General features: G+C 43.7%; 1 pseudogene, besides 1 other annotated feature; it reads left to right on the forward strand.

The window, feature by feature from the left end:
• Nucleotides 19,135–19,234: a silencer, noted in NCBI's record as "silent region_11389". NCBI's record gives its function as "represses an Ori minimal core promoter by ATAC-STARR-seq in GM12878 lymphoblastoid cells {active_cell/tissue: GM12878}" and the evidence as "EXISTENCE:reporter gene assay evidence [ECO:0000049][PMID:35858748]".
• Nucleotides 20,588–20,705, forward strand: RNU4-63P (RNA, U4 small nuclear 63, pseudogene; annotated as a pseudogene).

Raw genomic sequence — 24,892 nt, forward strand, 5'->3', positions numbered from 1 at the left:
CATATTCTAAAGATTCTTGTTAAGCTCAGACATTTCCTAAGGCATCCATGCAGGTCAGGGGTGCTGTGTATCCAAGTCCTGGATGTGAAGCAGGAGGAAGCAGATGTAAAGAGGTAGGAGCTACAGGAATGCTCAAAGGATCACATCTCCCTCCTCCTCCCCAGTCTCTGCATCACAGGGGCTCATGCTCCTTGCTTAGCCTGATGAGGCTACATCCAGCCAGCCCAGCCCGGTGAAGCTGCTTCCTGCTCCCAGCTCAGGAGCTCCAGGCAGGACTGAGCACAGCCAGCCATCAAATTTTGCCTGATCTAGCCCAGTGCAGTTATCAGCATTTTGTTTCTACCTCCATGTTTTGACCCTGGGTTCATCAGCTTGACCTTTAGCCCTAAAAGACACTGTCAAATTTGCTGAGTTTGGGGGCATTTCCACAGCTGCTTCTGTCTTTACCCCCTGCAGCTCCTCCTCTGCCATTCCACTCAGCCCTTCTCTCTCCCAAAATCCACAGGTGCCTAGCCCCACAGTGGCTGCTCCGGCAAGTCTCCCTGCTTTGATCAGATTCCCATGCTGTCTGACCACCATTTTTTTAAATTTTTGCACCCTACTTCTAGTCATCCACTCAAAGGAGGCCAAAACTACAATTCCTCTTTCCTCTTTTCCATCCACGCTGATATCACATCTCTAAGGCTCACTTAGACTTTTATTATCTTCTCCACTGAGGTAGAGATTATAAATCAATACATGTCATAACCTCAGTGTACGGGATGGCTGTGTGTGGGTGTAAGAGACAGAGAGAAAACACCAATGTTGGTATAGTAGAAATTGCAACTGATGTGTTACAATATGAAGAGGGAATATTGCATATCTTCCAATTCCTATTTTCAAAGTCGACTCATCTTTCCAGAACTGTCACTCCCAGCCATGGGAATAAAGTTCAGGAGCTCAGATTGCATTAGCTTCCTCCTTCTCACTCCAATGGGTAGTTTGTACCAGCTCCACCTCCCATCCCCAGGAGGAGCTCCTTCCAGGTTCCTCGACACCTGCCGCATCATACGGCTTACCCCATGGTGAGCAGAAGCTCCAGCTCAGCCCCAGGGACAACTGGCCTAGAGTGAATCATTTCTCAGGATCTCACTGGAGGTGGGAGGAGGTGGGTGGAGGAAGGTTTTGGTGGGTGAGCAAGGGGCAGAGGGACATGGTAGCACTGCTCCAGTTGTTGTTGCTTTGGGATGGAGGCGTTGAAAGATAAATTCATGAAAGAGAGACTGGAAGGCTTTCCTCTCCTGAGATTCAACCCTGGCCACACCACAGAATCCCTGTGACGCTTTCAAATAACGTGAATGTGCGGAGCACATCCCAGACCAAGGAAACTGAAACTCCAGGTGCGTAGCCAAAGAACTTGTGTCTGAAAAAAGCTCCCCAGGTCATTCAGATTCACAGCAACATAACCTGACCTCCTGATACAACAAGAAGCATACAACATCACCAATAAAGCATTCTTGATAAAAATGTCTAACCTGAATCCAACCATGAGAATGCAATCTGACAAATCCAGCTGTGGGACATTCTATAACACAACAGGCCTGAATTATTTTAAAAAGTCAGTATCATTTAAAAAGAAAGAAAGAAAGAAAGAAAGAAAGAAAGAAAGAAAGAAAGAAAGAAAGAGAGAGAGAGAAAGAGAAGAAAGAAAAGAAAAGAAAATTTGACCAGGTGCAGTGGCTCACGCCTGTAATCCTAGCACTTTGGGAGGCCGAGGCAGGCAGATCACCTGAGGTCAGGAGTTGGAGACCAGCCTGGCCAACATGATGAAACCCTATCTCTACTAAAAATACAAAAATTAGCCAGGCGTGGCAGGTGCCTGTAATCCGAGCTACTAGAGAGGCTAAAGCAGGAGAATCACTTGAACCCGGGAGGCAGAGGTTGCAGTGAGCCAAGATCATGCCACTGCACTCCAGCCTGGGCAACAGAGTGAGATCCTGTCTCAAAAAAAAAAAAAAAAAAAAAAAAGGAAAAGAAAAGTCAAGGACAATGGGCTGTTTTAGATTAAAAGTTACTAAAAAAAGACATAAAACAATACATAATACAATGCATAAATTTGAATTAGATCTTGGATTTAAAACACATGCAAATATAAAAAATATTTTGGAGCCAGTTGGAGAAATTTGAATATAGAATGTAAATTAATTATAAAATTATTAATTTTCTTAGTTGTAATGATAATGTTGTGGCCATATAGAAGTTTCTTACTTTTACAAAATGCTGCTAAATATGTGAGAGTGAAGTGCTGTGATTTCCACAGCTTTCTTTGAAACGGATCAGCATAAAAGAAATGTAGGAAACGAGATTAATGAAATGTGGCAAACTGATGACAACTGGTAAATCTAGTGAAGGATATTTGTGTATTTATTCTGACTTTTTTTCTTTCTTGAGATAGGGCCTCGCTCTTTCACCCAGGCTGGAGTGCAGTGGCACGATCATAGCTGACTGCATCCTCAAACTCCTGGGCTCTAGTGATCCTCCCACCTCAGCCTCCTAAGTTACTAGGATTACAGGTGGCCACCACCCTGCCTAGCTAATTTTTCTTTAGTTTTTTTGTAGAGGCAGGGTCTTGCTATGTTGCTCAGGCCGGTCTTGAACTCCGCAATTCAAGTGATCCTCCCGCCTTGGCCTCCCAAATTCCTGGGAATATAGGCGTAAGCCACTGCATGCAGCCAGTTCTACCATTCTTTTCAATCTGCAGTTTTAATATTTTTCACACCCCAGATAGCTATATGACTGCACACAATCAAAGTCACTGCCCTTCCCAGCTCTTCTCCAGCCCCTCCCTTCCAATTCTGAGGTCCTGGAGTCCCTAGAACAGTGATTCTCAAACCTCTGCACACAAGAGCCTGGAGGTCACATTAAAGCACAGACTGCTGGGCCCCACCCCTAGGGTTTCTGCTTCATTGGTCAGCTGTAGGGCCGAGTGTGTGCACTTCTATCAAACACCCAGGTGATGCTGATGCTGATCAGAGGCCTCACTCCAAGAACTACTCCCCCGGAGGGCTAGAAGATAGGCCAACGCTCCTATTCATAGCTCATCCTCCCAGATGTGCTATAGCCTCCAGCCCGTAAAGGCAAGATGCTTAATCTTTTCCAGGAAAAGTTTGTGCAATATGGCAATAACACCCACCAGAGGGCAGCAAACTCTTGCGGAAAGAAATTTTCAGGAAAAGAAAGGAATTTGACTGAACTCTTGGGACCCCTTCCTGAGGATTCTGACATCCCACAGAGGACTGAGGTGGTTGAGGCCATCGGGATCCGACTATAATAATTCTCTACATTTGGTTAACACTTCATGCACGTCAAACTTTCCCATATATTATCTCATCCAAACTCTACAATGGTCCTGAGGCAACAGAGCTTCAACATCTCTGTGTGATAGATAAGATAACAAGGCTCAGAAAGACAAAGTGGAGGTGACTTGTCCAAGATGAGAGGGCTGGTGATTTATCAGATCAGGAACTTGGATGCAGGCTGCCTGACGCCTCATTTCTTGTTTTCCCTCACACCTATCTGCAGTAATAGCCGCTGGGATTTCTTGATGATTTTTTATGTATTTCCTCTTTTAATTTTCACAGCAACCTATAAGGCATGCTCTCCAGTTGTCTCCACTTTACAGACAAGGTAAGGGAGGTGGGAGGAAACTGACTCGCACAATTAATAAGTAGTGAAGCTAGGATTTGAGTCAGGCCTGTCTGACTCAAGAATCTACAAACACCTACTGATTCCCTGTAGTCATGTGTAGTCAGCAGCCATTTGTCAAGCAGCACTTGCAGTAAGTCTGGGACTACGCAAGTCACTGGTGATACAGTCCTGGCCCTCCAGCAGCAGCCAGTCTAGAAAAATCTAAGATGAAGGTGCCCGTGCCAAGTGTCACAGGAAGCCCACCAGGTGAGTTCTATCATCCCCATTTTACAGATGAGGCAATGGGACCTAGAGAGGTCAATTAACTTGCCTCTGACTGCAAGACAATAAGTGATGGATCAGGGACTCACACTTGGGCCATGTACTATACCGGCAGCTTTTGTGCATCTCACCCCAAATTTTCTGAGATGCCATGTGGGAAATAGAAAATGTCCCAAAACATGTGGAACATTCATTCAGCTGCAGTGGACATTCATTCCATTGCAGTTGTCATCCCATCAGCTCTCTGCTGCCCCTCAGCTCAGCCTGCAGCTCAGACTCCTGCTGGGCCAGGCCCTCCTCCCCTGTAGAACCTCCCTTCCCCTTCCCATTGCCAAGTCAGGGTTTTCTTCTAGAATGGCCCAGAAAAATAAAGTCAGACCATTTTGCATATTGAGGACCCCTGATGAAGAGCTGCTGTTGAGAGTCAAAGAAGCTTCCCTGGGACCCTCACCTGTCAGCCTCCACTACCACCAACAGACATAAAGTAAGGGCAGTGCCTGACAGCAGATCTTGGGCTGGGGACGTGCAGGTGTTTTCCTATTTGGGCCTCAGAGTCCCCTGACCCAAGCCAGGCCCCCTCCCCTGGGCAGCCAGTTTGTTATTCCCGCAGATTCCAGTCATCACACCGGTTCTCCCATCCTTGTGGTTCTCCCTCCTTACTTCCTACAGGTACACTTGGGGATTCTGATTCTTTCCCTTCAAGACTCAGTAGAATAACATGTTCTTCTCTGTGCTGCCTCCTAAAGCAAACTCACATGCCCACTCCAAGAGAAGTCATTTAGTATGTAGAAAAGAATATTGGATTTTGAAATCTGACTTTAAATATCTGGGTATAAGATCCAGTTCCAGCACTCACAAGCAGGAGACTAGAACAAATCTCTTAATTTCTCTTGGCTGGGCATCATTTTACTGTGCTTACTATGGGAATCACAGCCTCTGGGGCCATCTAACAAAATACAGGGTTACCGTGGCGTTAAAGTAATATATAATGGAAGGCACTTTTTTTATTCTTAAGTTCTTTATAGTAAGTATGAATGTCGAAAACAAAAATTATATCATCTGGTGGCATTTTCAATGATGTAGATGTAACATGCAGGACAACAAAAATGGAGGATTAATGAAGCTATGTCGTTAAGCCTTTCACATTTTGCTTAGTTGCCAGAGTGGAGGGGTTAGCGACGGATAAATGTTAACTCTAAGTAGGATTAGGAGTCAACAATAGGAAACATGTGTAAGATACAAAACCAGAAGGCAGGCTTGGGCTCCTTGATTAACAGTAAAGGAGATCTCTGAAACTGGTATTTCTCATCTTTTCATTTGGTGCCTCCGAGATAGCACCACAGAGTAGCAGATTACAGGAAGATCCTGAAAGAGGAGGAGCACTGCTGACCTGTGCAAAGCATAGAGTATAATCGCGGGAGGACAAACAGCTTGAAGCTGCTGAGACAATGGCTCTGGCACCTGCTTTGGGGCAGGGAAATTTTAGGAAAAATACCTGTGGAAGTTAAGGATCTGGAAATAGATTCCCTTCCCATGCCATCAAACCTCCTGAAAAGTGCTGCTGTAAACCCTGTTTGAAGATCCTCTGAGATGTTGCTCAAAAAGCACACTCAAGGCCTATATAAAATTGGCTCCAGACCAAAGAGAAGTTGGCCACTCAACCTAGCAATGCCTTCTGATATGATTTTGTTGTGTCCGCACCCAAATTTCATCTTTAACCGTAGCTCCCATAATTCCTACATATCATGGTAAGGGACCTGGTAGGAGGTAACTGAATCATGGAGCCGGGTCTTTCCCATGCTGTTGTCCTGATAGTGAATAAGTCTCACAAGATCTGCTGGTTTTATAAAGGGTAGTTCCCTACACACATTCTTCTTGGCTGCTGCCATGTAAGATGTGCCTTGCTCTTCCTTCACCTTCCACCATGATTGTGAGACCTTCCCAGCCATGTGAAACTGTGGGTGCATTAAACCTCTTTCCTTTATAAATTACCCAGTCTGAGGTATGTCTTCATTAGCAGTGTGAGAACAGACTAATACACCTTCCCACGTTCCTGCCTCTCTCTACTGCGTCTGTTCCCAAGGGCCTCATCTTGCTCTCAGATATACCTGGGTTTCCTGTGCTGCCCAATTCAAGAAGTCTCCCTATAAACTCCTGGTCTTCAGCCCCAAACACACCCAGATAACCCCACATCTTTCAAGATTAAGACTGCCTCCACCTATCCTTCCTTCCTATATGGAATTGTGCCTCTATTGTGCCCCATATACACTTTTACCATAATATTTGTAATACTTTATTGATTTTGTTTACACATCTGTTCCCCATTTTTGGAATTAATATTTTATTGCTTTCTGTACCCTCAGTTCAGGAAACACTGTAGAAGTGCATTAAATGTCAATTGAATGGATGAAACCAAGGCCTACGTGCTCTTTCTTTGCAATGACAGCCTCTTTCAATCTTGCCAACCTTAGTTTGACCCAGACCTGACATAATGTAACCACAATCTAGCCATGGCATGACCTGGCTTCAAAGTTCTTTCAACCCTGTCAGGATGCTGTTTGCTATCCAAGTTACTGATAGCTAGTCTCAGGGCTGACTGCACATTAGAATCACCTGGGAAGATTTTTTGTTGTTGTTTTTTAAGGCTAGTCAAGTGAAGCAAAGGAGATAGAGAAGAAACAAAGAAGTCTATAGCTGGTTGTGATCAATTATTTGTAAACACCACTGCACTCGGCCCAACCCTGGGAAGTTTTTTGAAGTGCTGATGCTCAGGCCTCAACCTAGACCACTAAATCAAAAGCTCTACAGAGTGGGGAGCCTGGGCATCAGCATCTGTAAAGCCTCCCAGGTGATTCTAATGGGTAACCAAGGTTGAGAACTGCCATCTTAACAGAAGGGGCTTTGGGTTTGCATTATCTTCAGATGTGGAAGAATTCTCAATTCAACCTCAAATTTGTTTCCTAATCTTCCCTCCAAGTGTGGGCTCCCAAATTTTTTCCTCAAAGCTGAATGCACTTTCACCTGGATGTCAGCCCAGCATTTAAGCCCAAAATATCATATATCTAAATATTTAAAAGTTATAGATTAAGCTAAAAATTGTTAAATACAGTATGTCATTTCCTCCTTCCTGACAAATACAACTTTTGTAACACAAAAATTGAAAAAATGTGTACAAAACTAAGCTTTTACATGACTAAAAGTTGGCAAAATATCAAAGAGAACTGGTTGCATACCTTGATGCACTGATGTTTATGTGGGTAATACAATAAAGGTATACTATAATTACACTTGGCCCTTGAACAACAAGAGGGTTAGAGGTACCACCCTCCCCACCCTACACAGTTGAAAATCCAAAACTTTTCGCTCCCCCAAACTTTACTAATAGCCTACTATTGACTGGGAACCTTACAGGCAACATAAACAGTCAATTAACACACATTTTGTATGTTATATGTATTATATACTGTATTCTTACAATACAGTAAGCTAGAGAAAAGAAAATCATATCGAAGTCATAAAGAAGAAAAAATGTATTTACTATTCCTTGAGTGGATCATCATAAGGGTCTTCATGCTTGTCATTTTCACAATGAGTAGGCAGAGGAAGAGGAGGGATTGGTTTTGCTATCTCAGGGGTGGAAGAGGTGGAAGAAAATTCACATATAAGTGGACCCACACAGTTCAAACCTGTGTTTCTCAAGGGTCAACTGTAATTAGTTAGTATAATTTATTTCATAGAATGTATATTTCTTGTTCATTTCAGTGAATCACTAATAATGTTGCTATGATCAAAATTGTTCACAGTCATGCCAAATTGGCACTTTCGTTTAAGGGAAACACTGCTAATCTAGTAGCCATTGGAATTGTCAATAAATTTATTAAAATGATACTTAGATTGGAAATGAACCATAATTTTCAAACCAATCTCAAACATTGTAATGAGGTCATCTATGGTTAATTAGTGTTATCACTGGAAATGTAGCCAAATATATTAATTTCATGGTAGAAATTACTATTGCTTATTGTACTAGTCTGTTTTCACACTGCTGTGAAGATACTACCCCAGACTGGGTAATTTATAAAGGAAAGAGTTTTAATTGACTCACAGTTCTGCATGGCTGGAGAGGCCTCAGGAAACTTACAATTATGGAAGTGGAATTGTAATTATTATAATTCCAATTATGGAATTGTAATTATTATAATTCCAATTATGGAATTGTAATTATTATAATTCCAATTATGGAATTGTATGGAATAGTGGAAGGGGAAGCAGGCACCTTCTTCACAAGGCAGCAGGAGAGAGAGAGAAAGCACAGGGGAAATTGCGACTTATAAAACCATCAGGTCTCATGAGAACTCACTCACTATCACGAGAACAGCATGGGGGAAACTGCCCCCATGATCCAATCACCTCCCACATGTCCGTCCCCCAACATGTGGGGATTACAATTCAGGATGAGATTTGGGTGGGGACATAGCCAAAACATATCATTTCTATAGTTATTTTTGGCTTCTCTTAAAACAATATCTAGATTGATACTCTAATCCATAAGTTCTTTTAACTTTTTCTGGACTGGATTATTACAAATAAAGAAATACCAATATATTGGTTTGTTTAGATTGCTCTTCAATCAATACAATACCTTAATCTAGAATGGCCACAAAACAGTCGTAGAAGTCAGTTTTCAGATTGTATATGTGTGAACCTTCTCCTTCATAGTCATGCAAATGTTTTTGTTTTGTTGTTCAAATTTCCTTGTATTTTGCTGGAATTTTACTTTTGTTTCATATTTATCATGCATCTTTTTTATTTAGAATAACAATTTTCTTTAAATCTTTAGATATATTTGTAGAATCCATTTAAAAGTGAAATAAAACTTAGATCATGGTTTTGTTTTTTTATTTTTCAGTTAACATTGTTTACAGCAAGCTGTAGTTCATAACAAGTAACTGAATGATGAGATTTAAAATTAATTTCACATTCTGCCAAAGACTGAGATTTGCTCTTTGAGGATTTTCTATGGTTTTGCTTAGCTCTATTAATGTATTTCATATCTTGCTTAATTAAATCTAATTGCTTTGACAGTGTTTCATTAGAATTTCCATTGTGTACCTAAGCGTGTTGTAAGGTCAGATTTGGTGTGTGTTTCATCATGTTCCACCTTTAGAGAGATATAGAAAACAATGTAAATAATACTTGAATTGTTCCAAGGAATACCATTGCTATCAGCACAGGTAAAGCTGACATTTCCTTGTTAAAATTCAAACTACAGTTCAAAGAATGCTTCTATATTTTCAACCAGAATTCTGGATTGCATACCTTTTTCTTTAACAACCTTATTAACATCATTATCATAGGCTTACCCTCAATAATCTTTTAAATCAATGGCTAAAATTTAAAGCTGTGTCTTTAAGACAAAAGCTGCATTTTTCGAAAGTGTAAAACCAATAAAATACTTATTAATTTCAAGTTCCTTGTTTGCCTCTCCAGATAGTTTAACAATGAGTATCATAAATGTGAGTCATTCAGGCTGGGCATAGTGGCTCATGCCTATAATCCCAGCACTTTGGGACCCTGAGGCAGGAGGATCACTTGAGGCCAGGAGTTGGAGACCAGCCTGGACAACATGATGTAACCCCGTCTTTACTAAACTACAAAAAGATTAGCTGGGCATGGTGGCACACGCCTGTAATCCCACCTACTCGGGAGGCTGAGGCAGGAGAATTTCTTGAACCTGGGAGGTGGAGGCTGCAGTGAGCTGAGATCGTGCCACTGCACTCCAGCCTGAGCGACGTGGCAAGACTGTCTTACACACACACAAAAAAGTGAGTCACCCAACTTGACTTTTGACCGCTGCTAGCTAGTTGAACTGAATAATATTTGCTTTTTTAAATGTTAAATATTGTTATCATTTTATTATCCTTTAATTTAATAATCTCTTTTAATTCTCAATCCTCAATAGAGATCATTTGTGTGTGTTTTTAATCTCTTTCATGTTTGATCACCCTAGCAGCAAATTTTTAAGTCATTCATACAAAACCCAGAAAACTTCATTGTTTTCCATAAAGAATGTATTATTAAGGCTATAAAAGCATCATTTTGTTTGGCTAAATAACATGTTTCTTTTAGGAATATTATGGCAGATGTTCTTTATTGGTGTTTACTTGTCTTTGCTGACTACTACTCATTGTCTGCTGTTTATTAACCTTTTTTTCTCAAACAATTGATTGTGTGCTTTTTGTGTGTGCACAGGGATTTCCTCTTCTGGCCATAATACATTATTTAACCAAAGCTAATCTTCAAGATTGGTGATAATTGGTATAGAATTCACAAAATATTTTGTATTGAACTTAGCATATAAAAGCCAGTTTCTATGACATCTTTCCCAGTTAGAAGAGTTTTGATGTAAAATGGAATACTGGATGTCCTACCATGTTCATCCAATAATTGTAACCATTCACTTGGATGGGACTGTGTTTTGAGGACACAGTCTCCTGCTATAAGAAGGCCATTTTGGTTGGGTGTAGTGGCTTACACCCGTAATCCCAGCACTTTGGGAGGCTGAGGCAGGAGGATCACCTGAGGCTAGGAGTTCGAGACCAGTCTGGCCAACATGGTGAAATCCCATCTCTACTAAAAATGTAAAAATTAGCTGGGCGTGGTGGCACATGCCTGTAATCCCAGCTACTCAGGAGGCTGAGGCTGGAGAATCGCTTGAACCTGGGAGGCGGAGGTTGCACCACTACACTCCAGCCTGGGTAACTGAGCGAGACTCCATCTCAAAAAGAAAAAAAAAAAAAAAGCAGGCCATTTTCCTGAATCAGCCTCCCACAGGTACAGTAAAGCCCCCAAGGTTTCAGTTTCATCTTTCTCCTCCCATTGGGCTAATTTCACGAATGTAGCTTCCTTTGTGTCTCCCAGGCAGGCACAAGTTGCATCCATCTGTGGCTTCTGAATTGTGAATTTGATATGAATAATTCCCCTTTACATTCTCATTGTTTTGATCACTAATTAGATCTACATTAAGTAAACAATTTGTAAGGTCCTGTGTAAAGATTTTTTGTGGGCTAGTCCAACAAATGCCTACTCACTTTTACTATTTCTCCAGTGTTTGCAGTGTTAAGCAGATTACCTCACTGATTTTGTTTCTTTTCAGCTTCTGAACTTCACCCTATTTTATCTTTTTATCCCAATCTTGACTTATATCCATTTCTCAATAATAAAGAGGATTAAAATGTGATTGAAATTTGTCAATATAAGTATATTTCATCAAATACATAAAATTTTTACATATATGTATTAGTCCATTTTCACACTGCTGTTAAAGACATACCCAAGTCTGGGAAGAAAAATAAGTTTAATGGACATACAGTTCCACGTGGCTGGGGAGGCCTCACAATCATGGTGGAAGGCAAGGAGGAACAAGTCACTTCTTATGGATGGCAACAGGCAAAAAGAGAGAGCTTGTGCACGGGAGCTCCTCTTTATAAAACCATCAGATCTCATGAGACTTATTCACTATCACGAGAACAGCACGGGAAAGACTTGCCCCATGATCCAATAACCTCCCACAGGGTCCCTTTCACAACATGTGGGAATTCAAGATGAGATTTGGGTGGAGACACAGCCAAACTATATCACAATATATTTTTAATTTATTTTAATAGTCTTTTAATACTTAAAATTATCTATGAAAATTAAAAGGCAGATACAAATTATAATTAATGAATATAACTTTTAAATAATGGTGACATTTTAATTTAATTTCCTGGAAATTTAATTAGGTCATATTTAACGTTTTTATAAAAATAAAACACACTTTTTTTTCGAGATGGAGTCTCACTCTGTCACCCAGGTTGGAATGCAGTGGCATGATCTCCACTCACTGCAACCTCCACCTCCCGGGTTCAAGCAATTCTCCTGCTTCAGCCTCCCCAGTTGCTGGGATTACAGGCACCTGACACCATGCCTGGTTAATTTTTGTATTTTTTTTTTTAGTAAAGACAGGGTTTCACCATGATGGCCAGGCTGGTTTCCACTCCTGATCTCAAGCAATCCGCCTGCCTTGGCCTCCCAAAGTCCTGGGATTACAGGTGCATCCTTTAATTTTAAGTTGCAATACAGCATTGCAATTCTAGCATCCAAAATCTAACTGGTTGGTTGCCTTCTGAAGTAAAGAATGGATGCTATGCCTCACACATGTTATATGGAGATGTACATAGATACAAATTAAGAGTAACATCAGTTGTTTGGTGTTGCAAATATTCGTCAGCCCTTGGATGCATTTGTTGCAAATATCACACAGGTTCCTGAATAACTCCAGCACCAAGAATTTGAAGTTGGAGAAAAGTAGGAAATGGGATACTTAGCACTTCTGGAAAATATTTAGTAAGAATCTATAGCATTTATATTACCTGAGATGAAAGTTTTCAAAAGTTTATTGGTAGTTTTCTTTTCCCTACCTGTGTTTCTAGCACTGAAATCCTCCCTGAACTTGGATCAGTGTCATCTGATAACTGTAGCAACACAGCCCACAAACATACTTCACATGGGAACACAGATACCTTTCATTTCTAGGACATACCACTCGGGACAAGTGGAGAAGCATTTACTGGAGTCTGAATGGTGTTACAGAGCAAAAGTTTAGGGTTGCAGGTCACTCCACACCATTGCGAAGTGCCACACACCTGAATGGCATTTTCTGCATGCTCATCACAAGTGGGCCTTCTAGAGCCCTCCTGCCCTAGCCCCTGGCCTCACCTCCTTGACAAGAAAGGCACTTTCTTATCTTTCCCAAGAGAGCCCCTTCCTAGGCTTCATCCCTCCATGCCCTAACACAGCATTTTTCAAGACACCTCCCCTGGGAGTCAGAGGCTCTGAGGATCCACTTGAAAACCCTACCTACCCATCCCTATCTGCAGCCTGAGCCTCTCTGCCCTATTTACTTTACCTCAAGAATATTCACCCTTCCATATCAATTAAGAGGTTGTCACTGCACCAAGGTTCTGCTCTGGCATTTTGGCCAAATGGAGCCAGACCAAGCAACACATGCAGACTGACAGCCAGGTAGGCTAAAGATTTCATGACTCTTCATCCAATGTTGTGTTGTTGTTTTAATATTCAGAATCAGTGTAGCACAAAGCTTAAAAAATGGAACCCTGTTGCTCCACTGCCTGGGTTGGAATTCCGACCCGGACCCAAGCTGTGTGACCTGAAGTCAGGTTCCGTATCCTTTCTCAACCTTAACTTTCTCCTCTGTAAAGTGGGAATACCACACAGCGTTGTTGTGAGTCATATAAGCAATGACATACATAAACTACCTGGGCTCTGCCAGGCGTGGTAGCTCACACCTGTAATCCCAGCACTTTGGGAGGCCGAGGCGGGCAAATAACGAGGTCAAGAGATGGAGACCATCCTGGCCAACATGGTGAAACCCCATCTCCACTAAAAATGGAAAAATTAGCTGGGCATGGTGGTGTGTGCCTATAATCCCAGCTACTCAGTAGGCTGAGGCCAGAGAATCCCTTGAACCTGGGAGGCGGAGGTTGCAGTGAACGGAGATCATGGCGTTGCACTCCAGCCCAGGTGACAGAGTAAGCAAGAATCCGTCTCAAAAAAAAAAAAAAAAAAAAAACTACTACCTGGGATCTACTAACACTCCATAGCTACTCTTTTTTTTCTTTTGTGAGACAGGTCTCATTCTGTCACCCAGGCTGGAGTGCAGTGGCACCATTCTCAGCTCACTGCAGCCTTGACTTCCCAGACTCAAGCAATCCTCCCACTTCAGCCTCCTAAGTAGCTGGAACTACAGGCGCACCCCACCATGCCCGGCTAATTTTATTTTTTGTAGATACAAGCTCTCATTATGTTTCCCAGGCTGATCTTGAATTCCTGGACTCAAGAAATCCTCCCATTTCTGGGCCTCCCAAAGGGCTGGGATTACAGGTGTAAGCCACCATGTCCAGCCTCCTTTCATTATTTGTTTGACATTTGGTTACATATTTAGAAACAATCTTATTTTACAATAAAATGTTATACTTCTTTCTTTAGGCTTAGAACATGATATTTATCATAGGTAATTTTCCAAACCAATTTACTGGGGAAAGTGGGGAGCATAATAAAAGGTCTTAATTTTGCATAATAAAGTATATCATTTGTAACTAGCATATATATTGGGCCAACTTGTCACAGAATTGCAGCAACTGCAAAAGCCAGCATCAAGCAAATAGCAGCAGCTGGACTCAGAGTTACCAGAGTGGCCTATAAACGTGTCATGCAAAAAAAAAAAAAAAAAGTCATATTTGCATGTATAAGTCAACTGGCAGTATATTCCTGATGTGGTCCACCAATGTCTGGATGCCCCCTATAGACTGGCACTCCAGCTGATTGAGACTGCCAGCCACTCACCTTGCCTGGTACCTGGTTTTTCTCATGGCCGCTGCCCTGGGCAGCAGCTGCCCACAACCCAGGGGCTGGCATTGACCACACCAGTATCGTCTAACAGCCTACAGCACCTACATGTCTTTTTCTTCAGAGCTGTGTGCCTCCTGAGTCCTGTCACTAAATCCCAGTTTCTAGCGCCTCCGGTCTAGGTTTGCTTTGGCTGGTTGTTGTTTTTTCCAGACCTACTCTGAAGCCACTGAGAACATATGCTTACAGGTCTACAATATCAAAATACCTCAAGTGTACAGTAACACTCAAACTTGCCTTCAAGAAAAGGGAGCCTTGTTCTCTCAGCAAGCCCTGGGCCCCAGTGCTGGGATTTGTCTCCACAGGACGTCAAATAGGTCAGTCTCATCCATTTAGTGCAACAAAAACCAGTCAAACCAGTTGTTTGGCATCATGTCGACCAAGCACAAATAAACTAGAAAACAGATGGTGACCAAAAGAAAGAGAAGCTACACATTTGCGTAAACTGTGGGTCCTATTATCTCTGAGAGACATGGGGCACATTAAAATTTAGGCTATGTCTAACCAGTTTCCCCAATCAAGATTACAGTGGTTTCAACCTTGTATGGGGGTGATGAGGGCTAAGCTCTGTATTCTACGCGCAGCGTAGGAGTTCACTCAGCCCCAGCCACACAGCTAGTGCCTTCCCTCTGCAAACATTCCACAAATGACCATAAACATCCCACAAATGACCATTTCCATGTGAGCTTTTTAACATTTGGCCTCTCAAGCCTTAAGAAATTCTCCACTCTTCAATTTCTAAAAGTAAATCACATTTGGGCATTTTACAGAAGGTCAAGAAGTTTTGCCACCTACATCAAAGACATACATCTTTCCTTCCCTCCTCTTACTTTTGAAATGATAGCCAAATTGAGAGGAGCCCTTCAAAGTCTTCACAATAAGTCTTGCACAATAAGAAAAGGTTCTCTGTGTGATCACTTAGCAAACAATTATCCATTTCCTTCTCTTTGTCCCAGATTTAGAGCCTAAAAATTCATCTTTTGTTTGATATTTATTTTGAGATGAAAGAATACTAGATAAAGATGTATTCTCTGATTTGCTAACATGCAGACAAAGTTTTCCCCATATTCGTCCAGTTACTGAAAGGGAACCCTAATCCACATGCTATTATTTTCCATCAGTGGACTTTGTCCTTCATCTATCTCCTTCTTCCCTTCTTCCTCCCACTTAGTCTAGACATGCCTCTTTTAAATGATCGACATGGTTGACAAATTTCCATGTTATTTCTTTGAAAAAGAATTGTTTCTCTTTGTTATATACGTAGAAGAAGATTAAAGTGTACAACTTATCAATGTTTCCTACTGTATTATTTCGTTTTCATGCTGCGGATAAAGACATACGCAAAACTGGGAACAAAAAGAGGTTTAATTGGACTTATAGTTCCACATGGCTGGGGAGGCCTCAGAATCATGGCAAGAGGCAAAAGGCACTTCTTACATGGCAGTCGCAAGAGAAAATGAGGAAAATGCAAAAGCAGAAACCCTTGATAAACCCATCAGATCTGGTGAGACTTATTCACTATAAGGAGAATAGCAGGGGAAAGACCAGCTGCCATGATTCAATTACCTTCCCCTGGCTCCCTCCCACCACACGTGGAAATTCTGGGAGATACAATTCAAGTTGAGATTTGGGTGCGGACACAGCCAAATCATATCACCTACTGAATTGCTATTATTGCATGCAGTTTTTTTTTAGTAGTTATCACATTCCAAGAGGAAACACTGTCACTATTCATAAATTTACCACACACTCAATTTATTTCTCCCATATTTATTCTACTAAATCTTGAATAAGTGACATTAACTTTTTGCCTAATTTTTCTCCCTTGAAAACAAATTGTGTCTAGCTTGAGTTTTGTCTTCCAAATCTCCACATTCTAAATCCTCATCCATCTGCCTATAATGAATAGTACTTATGCTCCCCCCACTTTTTGAGTGTCTCTTTCAAAAAATCTTACCAGAGATACAAAACATTAACACAATGTTTAAACCTGCTGATGTGGAACAAGCATGAACTTTCTGTTCAAACGCACTGCACAGAACGAGCCTCAGTCTTCTCACATTTAAAGCAGTCAGATTCATTAGACTTGAGAGACAGTCTCTGAGTTCCTCTGCTACTCAAATTTTTATTTATCCTTAGTCATTCTCACAGGACAAAGGCTGCAGGAACCTTCTGGTAGAAAGAAACAAAGACAGGAGAAATCAACAGAGACAGAAATGGAACAGTAGCAAAAAGGAAGCTGTCCCAGATCCAGGCAAGAAAGATGTCTCAGCCAGGGCAAGCCCCATCTGGGGAAAGGAGCTCTTGTCCTGTTGGTTCCTCCCAGCCACAAATACCAGCACACGTGTACACTCCACATAGACAAACCCCACTCTGCAGATACACACACACCGCACACATACACAGCATCAACATCCACACAAAGAGCTGGCTATGGCTCCTTCTCTCGAGTTGAGCCTGTATTTGACAACTGTTGAGGAGGCGGAAGCTGGGGGTGGCCAATGAATAAGAAAACAAAAAATGAGCTTTGTGTGAGAGTTCACTGGGATCTTACAAAATGTCTTTTTAATCCTGGAACTATTTTCTGTTGTGTGGGAGGAGAGGAGCAAGGGTGATGCCTGGAGATGGAGGTCTTGAGGAGGACGTGTGCAAGTTCCTAGGGAGGGCAGAAATCAAAAATGAAAGTCAAGGTCGGGTGGATGACACAGGGTAGAGAGCCAGTGAGTCTTCACAGCACCCTGGAGTCAGAAGGATCTGCTGGTTCTGCTCAAGGCTGGGATGCACTTTACCTAGATCCTGGAAAGCAACATAAATCACTGCCTTGACTGGCCACAGCTGACCATGGGGATGGGGGTGATGAGGGCTAAGCTCTGTATTCTATGCACAGCATAGGAGTTCACTCAGCCCCAGCCGCGCAGCTAGTGCCTTCCCTCTGCAAACATTCCACAAATGACCATAAACATCCCACATATGACCATTTCCATTTGAGTTTTTTAACACTTGGGCTCTCAAGGCTTAAGAAATTCTCCACTCTTCAATTTATAAAAGTAAATCACATTTGGGCATTTTACAGAAGGTCAAGAAGTTTTGACACCTACATCAGAGACATACATCTTTCCTTCCCTCCTCTTACTTTTGAAATGATAGCCAAACCCCAGCGGTTTCATTGCCTGGGAGAATGCTGTGCCACACACAACATCTGTAAGTAGTTAATTTTCCAAATGGGAGATGGTCACCACAGATGCAGAACTTTTAAAAATAAACATCAGAAAAATATTACTCCAGCAAAAATGAAAGCCTAGAATCCACGTGAGTGGGTGGGAGGTAGCTGGCGCAAGGTAGATCAAAGCTGCATCCTAGTCTGCCTGGCCATGCAAAAGCAAGAAAAATAGAACCACAGAACTTCAGAGCAAAAAAAAAGAAGGACCTTTGGGGGGTATCCTAGCTCCCATATAATAGGGAAATTAAGGCCTGGGCCAGGAAGTGAGTGCCTATCTGTGTTGGACTGGAGCTCAGGCTGAGAGCTTTCTGCTCTAGAATAAGCCTCATTTTTATTAGGGTATCTTAGCTTTTTCCCTTTTAAGAAAAATAAAAATCCTCTGACTTAACCACGGCCTTTAGCCCCTACATGGGGCCCTTTTGAGGTGGGCGGGGGACTCTGGTCCTGGCCTCCTGAGATGGGTGTATCCCCTACCTACACCCCTCATCATGCATGCCCTGCATCTGGATGGCAAGCCATGAGAACCCAGGACACTGCAGAGGCCAAGGCTAGAGCAAGACTGACAAAGGCCTAAGAGAGGGAACTCCACTTGGGCAGCTACTTCTTATCTATTTTATGGAATGAGGTGGCCAAGCTTGAGAATCTTGTGCCCTGAGACTAAAGAAAGCCTGATCACTGTGACCAGCATGAGTTATAGAGAGGTTGGGGCAGGGCAAGCTGGACATCCAACTGCACCCACATCCTCCCACAACCATTCCTCTCCTGCCTCAACATGAGACTGGTGCCTCTGGACAGGAGCAAAGTGAGGCACAAAGTATGTCCCCTACACACAGACAGGCACAGAATAGGCATTCAGTAAACCATAGTTCAGCCAGGCAGGATGGCTCATGCCTGGAATCCCAGCACTTTGGGAGGCCAAGGCAGGCGGACCACCTAAGGTCAGGAGTTCAAGACCAGCCAGGCCAACATGGCGAAACCCCATCTCTACTAAAAATACAAAAATTAGCCGGGTATAGTGGTGGGCACCTGTAATCCCAGCTACTCAGGAGGCTGGGGCAGGGAGAACTGCTTGAACTCGGAAGGTGGGGGTTGCAGTGATCCGAGATCACACCACTGCACTCCAGCCTGGATGACAGAGTGAGACTCCATCTCAAAATAATAATAAAATAATAAACTGTAGTTGTTTCGGCTTGGAGTGAAATGGAAGAAATATGAGGGACAGATAGCACATTTAAAGGGATCTATTGTTCCAGCCCAGATGAGCCCCTGGACATTCCTGTGTGTTATGCTTTACCAGGTGCCTTATCACTGCTTTATCCATCTCTTCCCTACAGGTGGTTTTCTGCAGGGAGGCTCCAAAAGACAGAAGCTGAGTTCTGCCAGAAGAAAAAGGGAATGGAATATGTAAAAGAAAAGGATAAAAGAAAACTGGGGACAGACAGGCAAGGCTAGTAGGGAAGGGGGAGTGGGGTCTCTGGGGAGAAGAGAATCCTCAACCTGGGAAGAAGGGGAGGCTTGAAAGCAGAGGGGAAAGCTATGGAGGTCTGGAGGGCAGAGGAAATCCCAGATGTGGTGGCCAGCAGGGGTCGCTGATGCCCCACCAACAGCCTTAGGGCTGGGGAAGACTCAAAGGGAGGAAGATTTTCAAAAGCTCAAGTGGGCTTCACTCCCTCCCCTACCCTCCACCGTCCCCTCTGCCCCAGACTCTTCCTTATGGCATTGAGGTCTCTCTTCTAGGGTTCTGGAGGTTCCTTTCCCTGTGATCCTTTTCCTGAAAGTGAGCAAGATAGCCTGGCCAGGCAGCCCTGGGGGTGATGGAGGCAGCAGGTGGGGAGAGGCCTCCTGGATTTGCCCTCCAATGCTGCTCCCATGGGCACCCATGGAAATGGGGGTAGGAGGGCACCTCTGACCACAGGCTGCTGATGGGGTTGGCGCAGGCAGAGGAAGGGAGGGAACTGCTCTTCCTGGCTATCCTTGTCAAATAGCAAATTCAGAGCAGAGCCACAGCGAAGCCTGGAGGTAGAGGAATGCCCCCCGGCCAGCAGTGGTTCAGGGCCGTGCTTAGGAGCACCAAACCTGAGCCTGGGCGCTGCATGCTCCGAGGGCCAATCCCAGCACACACTGTTCCCCCACTGTCTGAGGCCCAGCACCTGTTGTCTAGAATCAGCGTCTACTTGCCTCTAGGCAGACACCCTGACCAATTCTCTACCCTCCTTGGCTTCTCCATTTTCAGTTCTGCTCCTCAGACACCAAAAGCTCCTATCACTACAACCTTCCTCATATTACCTTTTCCAAGATTCTGGCTTAGCCAGTATTAGTTACAGTTCAGGTCAATCAATGTCCTTCAAGAAGAGTTTAGGAAGACCTGTGTGTCCCAAGTCCTAATCACATCTCAGAATGGTTCTGCCACAAACTCTGAGATTCTTTCAAAAAGCATGTATTGATCTGCTCTTGCTTTCCTAGGGCCATAAAAGAGGCAGGCTTATGGAACCAAGTATGTTGCGCCTCTGAGCTAATGGTTCCATCTTTGGAGGCCACTCCTCAGGGTAGTTCTTAACTGACAGATGACCCCCGACATTAGAAGAGATGCCAGCAGAGTCCAGACCTGGGGTAGGACCCTGAGCTGTTTATCCCCAACAGTCAGAAGGAAGGCTGCACTGTCCCAGGGGCACCCAGCCTCCAAATGAGCCTCAAGGAAGGGTCTGGAAGGCCAGACAATACTATGGTCAGATTATGGACTTGGGAATTGCTGCAGATGCCATTGGGGGTAAGGAAGATTAGGAAATTCTGGAACTCAGGAGCTGCCCAGGCAGCCAGACTGCCTCTGACACACCCAGTCCTCATTTGGATTTGAGGAAAGGAGACTTGAGCGCAGGAGAAAGGCACCCAGGAGCCTGTGAGTCGTGCCTAAGCCTCTGGATCCCACATCTGAGGAAACAACTTAATGTAAGCTTTGAGTGGTGCTACCACCGTCGCCTCTGAGGTTTAACCGAGGCGCGATTGTTGCTGATTGAAAACATGAGACCTAATTCCAGCCCCCTCCTCCCTCCAGTGGCAGGCGGAGGCTCCACATCCATTTCCTGCCTTGGTCAGAACTGGCTCCGGAATGGGACAGGGCTGCCTGTGGCTCCAGCTGGGGGAGGCTGAGGTGAATAAAGACAGTGATGGAGAGGGATCCAAGGGAAACCAAGGATGGATGTGAAGAGCTGATGCCACCTGCCACCCATCCAGGTGGAGTCCTCCCAGACTCCAGGCTCATGCCAAGGGAGGGTGTAGGTGGTTGCTAGTGTAAGCTAATCCTGTGTCTGTGATGCCGAAAAAACTATATAAATGCCCATCACCTCTCTGGGGACAGCCCTGCTCCCCAGCCATTCCCTATAAGAAGCTGCCCTTATACAACCACTTTCCCCCAGTCTTGGAGATGGTCAGCTCTGCAGAGCTCACAGAGAAATCAAAGATATATAGGGTGTTATTAGACGGATCCTAGCAAAGGGCAGGTTTAACCAATGCCCTCACATTTTATAACTGAAATTCAGAGCGGTTAAGCAACCTCACAGAACAAGATCTAGTCTGCAACTCTTTGCTTCTTATTTTTTGGGAAAGGGTCTCACTCTGTCATTCAGGCCAGAGTGCAGTAATGCAATGATAGCTCACTGTAACCTCTAACTCCTGTGCTCAAGTGATCCTCCCACCTCAGCCTCCCAAGTAGCTGGGACTACAGGTACATGTCTAGCTAATTTTTTTTTTTTTTAAGAGACATAGTCTCACTATGTTGCCCGGGCTGGTATTGAACTCCTGGCCTGGTCCCCAAGGGATCTTCTCGCCTTGGCCTCCCAAACTACTGGGAATATACACTTGAGCCACCGCACCCAGCCTAGTTTGCAACTCTTGACTCCTGATTCCTGAGTGCTCCTTCTCTGACACCAGAATTTTCCAGAAGGTCTCCGAAAGAGGTCAAGAAATAAGCAGCTCTGATCAAACTATTAAAAAATCAGCTTCAGGCCAGGCACAGTGGCTCATGCCTTTAATCCCAGCACTTTGGAAGGCCGAGGCAGGCAGATCTCTTCAGCTCAGGAGTTCAAGACCAGCCTGGCCAATGTGGTGAAACTCTGTCTCTATTAGAAATACAAAAACTAGCTGGGTATGGTGGCACATGCCTGTAATCCCAGCATGCGCCACCACACCCGGAGTTCTGAGAATTGCTTGAACCCAGGAGGCGGAGGTTGTAGTGAGCTGAGATCATGCCCCTGCACTCCAGCCTGGGCAACACAGCAAGACTCTGTATTTTTTGTTTTAATAAGCTTCAAAATTGTAATAAGTGAGTAGTCAATGTGGCTGTTTGCAGATAAACACACCAACATGTCATTTCATTTAGCATGATCCTGAGGGCCATGCCTCATGGAAAGCCATCCTCACACTTTTCTGTTTCCCCCTCAGTCTACTCCCCTGAGAAATGAAACCACATCCTGGCCTCAGAGGAATGCCTTGAGGTTGCCATGGTAAGACATATGTGCGGTAGTGTCTCACCAATCCTGAAATCACCTCTCCAGCTGACAGTCAAGGACAGGGAAGTGGAAAAGACCCCCAGACAGCCACTGTAGACCTCACAATGTCCGGGTTCCAAAGTTCATGCCAAGCAGTCACAGAAAGGCCTTTCAGACTCATTTGGATTCTTTTCATTCTTGCTTCACAAACAGCTCTAACAGACTTACCCTTCCGAATTTTTGTTGTTGTTATTATTACTTCTTTTGTTTAGTCCCTGGAATATTGGAAGCAGGCAACAAATTAGAAGAAAGATACTGAACTGCTAGTGAGAGGCATACTGGGAATCAAAAAAGTGAGGTTAGCTGAAAGACACAAGATAGCAACAAAAGCACAAATAGGAATCCCAAAAGCATAGAAAGCTGGAGTCATTTTAGTATAGAGATAAATAGCCATGTACATTTCAGTAGACCTGAAGGTATCACAGTGTTCCTGAGTCATCAAAAATAATTTCTATAAAAGGAGTCTTTCCATCCATCTTTCATCCCAAGAATAATAGCACAGCCTCATCCAGTTCATAGGATTTTCACTCCTATAAGTCAAGTAAGTTGTTCTCAATATCAAGAATGAGATTCTCCCTAGGGAATCTAGCCTGTGTTGACTCTTTCTCTTCACATGCACTGCACACATTCAGAGGCAACAGACAGAAGCTCTCTGCATTCCCACCCCCGTTAGCAGAGAAGAATATGACCGTAAATTAGCATAAAGATTCTTCAGAGACAAGGCACAGAAACAATGTATGCAGAATATTGGGGGAATGTCCAAAACACTTGAGCACGAACTGTTTCCAAGCTCCCATAAGCAGTTGAGCTGCTTCTATGTATCTACAAATAACCAACATGCTCCAGATAATCTTTCTTATTTATTAAAGGACACCCAAAGAGCCCCTCTGGGCCACTGTTGACTGATTACATCAATGGGTGGATGGATGGTAAATAAATAAACCTGGTGACATAGCTGGAGTTATTTGAAAACAACAAATCACTTTCCTTAAATACAGCCCTATGCAGACTTTCACTGATTTACACATTCCCCCCAAGGAATCTGCATCAGTGAGACCTGTGTTCATATTTATGTTTCACGTCATTTTAGCTGCTTATATTTTAAGATGACATCCAATATTTAGATGAAAAGTCAAGAACCCATCATGTTGAAGCATTTGAGTATCCAGATGGTTGGCATCAGTAGATATAAGCATTGTGTATCCATTCGTTGAACAAATATTTATTAAGTGTCTGCTCCATGCCCGGCTCTCTGCTAGGCCCTAAAGATCCCAAACTGAGTAAGATTGATGACTCAGTCAACTTCACAAAACCAAATCATCTTGAAGCAGAAGGAAGAAAGCAACTGTAACCTGTGCCATGGCTGCCACTGTTTTAGACACTTTTATATAATATCTCTTTTTGTTTCATGACAAATCTCCAAAAGTCAACCCTTAAACTGATGAAGAAACAAACTCAGAGAGGTCAGATAACTTGTTGAAGCCACACATCTAGCGAGGGTCACAGCAAGAACTGGAGCCCATTTCTCCACACAGCCCGATAGAGGGGCCTGTGGTGGAAGGCAGAAAGCAGACTACACTGACTCTGCCCCCCGCTGCTTGCATCTTTTCAAAAAAAAAAAAAAAAATGACAAGCTCTTCTGAGCCTCAGTTTCTCCATCTAGCCACTGGGATCACATGCCTCTGTCAGAGGCTAGTTGTGGAAATCAAAAGAAATCATATATGTGGGGGCTTCTGACTTTGGATCCAACATGCATTAGGTGCTCAGCAGATGTTTATTACATGGATGGATAGGATCGTCGAACCTTCCTCCACTCTCACCTCCCACCCGCAGTGGTCCTCTACACCAGCATCTGCTGACAGCAGCATCACCACACACTTCCAGAAGTAGGCAGCTCACGACTTCCTGAAGCACCCTGTTTTAGAACTGAAAGGCCTCACTCACCTGGCATCATTGCATTTCTGTGTGCCCAGACTGTACTAAGTGTGGAGAAGACAGAAGACATAGGCCACCCCTGGAAGGTGACAGTGTAGCTCTGGAGACAGTCTGTCCATTCTTGAAATATTAAAAAGCATTAAGAGGGCCAAGCATGGTGGCTCACACCTGTAATTCCAGCACTTTGGGAGGCCGAGGCGGGCGAATCACCTGAGGTCAGGAGTTCGAGAGCAGCCTGACCAACATGGTGAAACCCTGTCTCTACTAAAAATACAAAAATTAGCTGGGTATGGTGGTAGGTGCCTGAAGTCCCAGCTACTCAGAAGGGTGAGGCAGGAGAATCACTTGAACCTGGAAGGTGGAGGGTGCGGTGAGCTGAGATCTTGCCACTGCACTCCAGCCTGGGCAACGCAGCGAGACTCTGTCTCAAAAAAAAAAAAAAAAAAAAAAGGCAAGCATCAGAGAACTTTCCAAGATGCATCATCTTCAAGAACAAGAATGGGAGGCAGTGGAGGTGTGGCATCTCCTCCTTAGGATGCAGAAGCTGAGCCAGCCCCCAGGCCAAACAAGGGTGGCCAGGCCTCTCCCTGGATCCTGGTACTCACAGAACTCTTTGGTTTCTTCATCTCACTCCTCCCTCCTGCTCAGTCACATTTTGAGTTATTGTCCCATGTAATTTCTAAGCCAGCCAGGTATCCCGGCCTTGTGAGACACCAATCTTGCTCTAATGTTTTGAATGTGAACCATCATGAAAAAGTAAGAATGATTAAAAAGG

The sequence above is a fragment of the Homo sapiens genome, chromosome 2 (genome assembly GCF_000001405.40).
Source record: "Homo sapiens chromosome 2, GRCh38.p14 Primary Assembly".
NCBI classification, from domain to species: domain Eukaryota; kingdom Metazoa; phylum Chordata; class Mammalia; order Primates; family Hominidae; genus Homo; species Homo sapiens.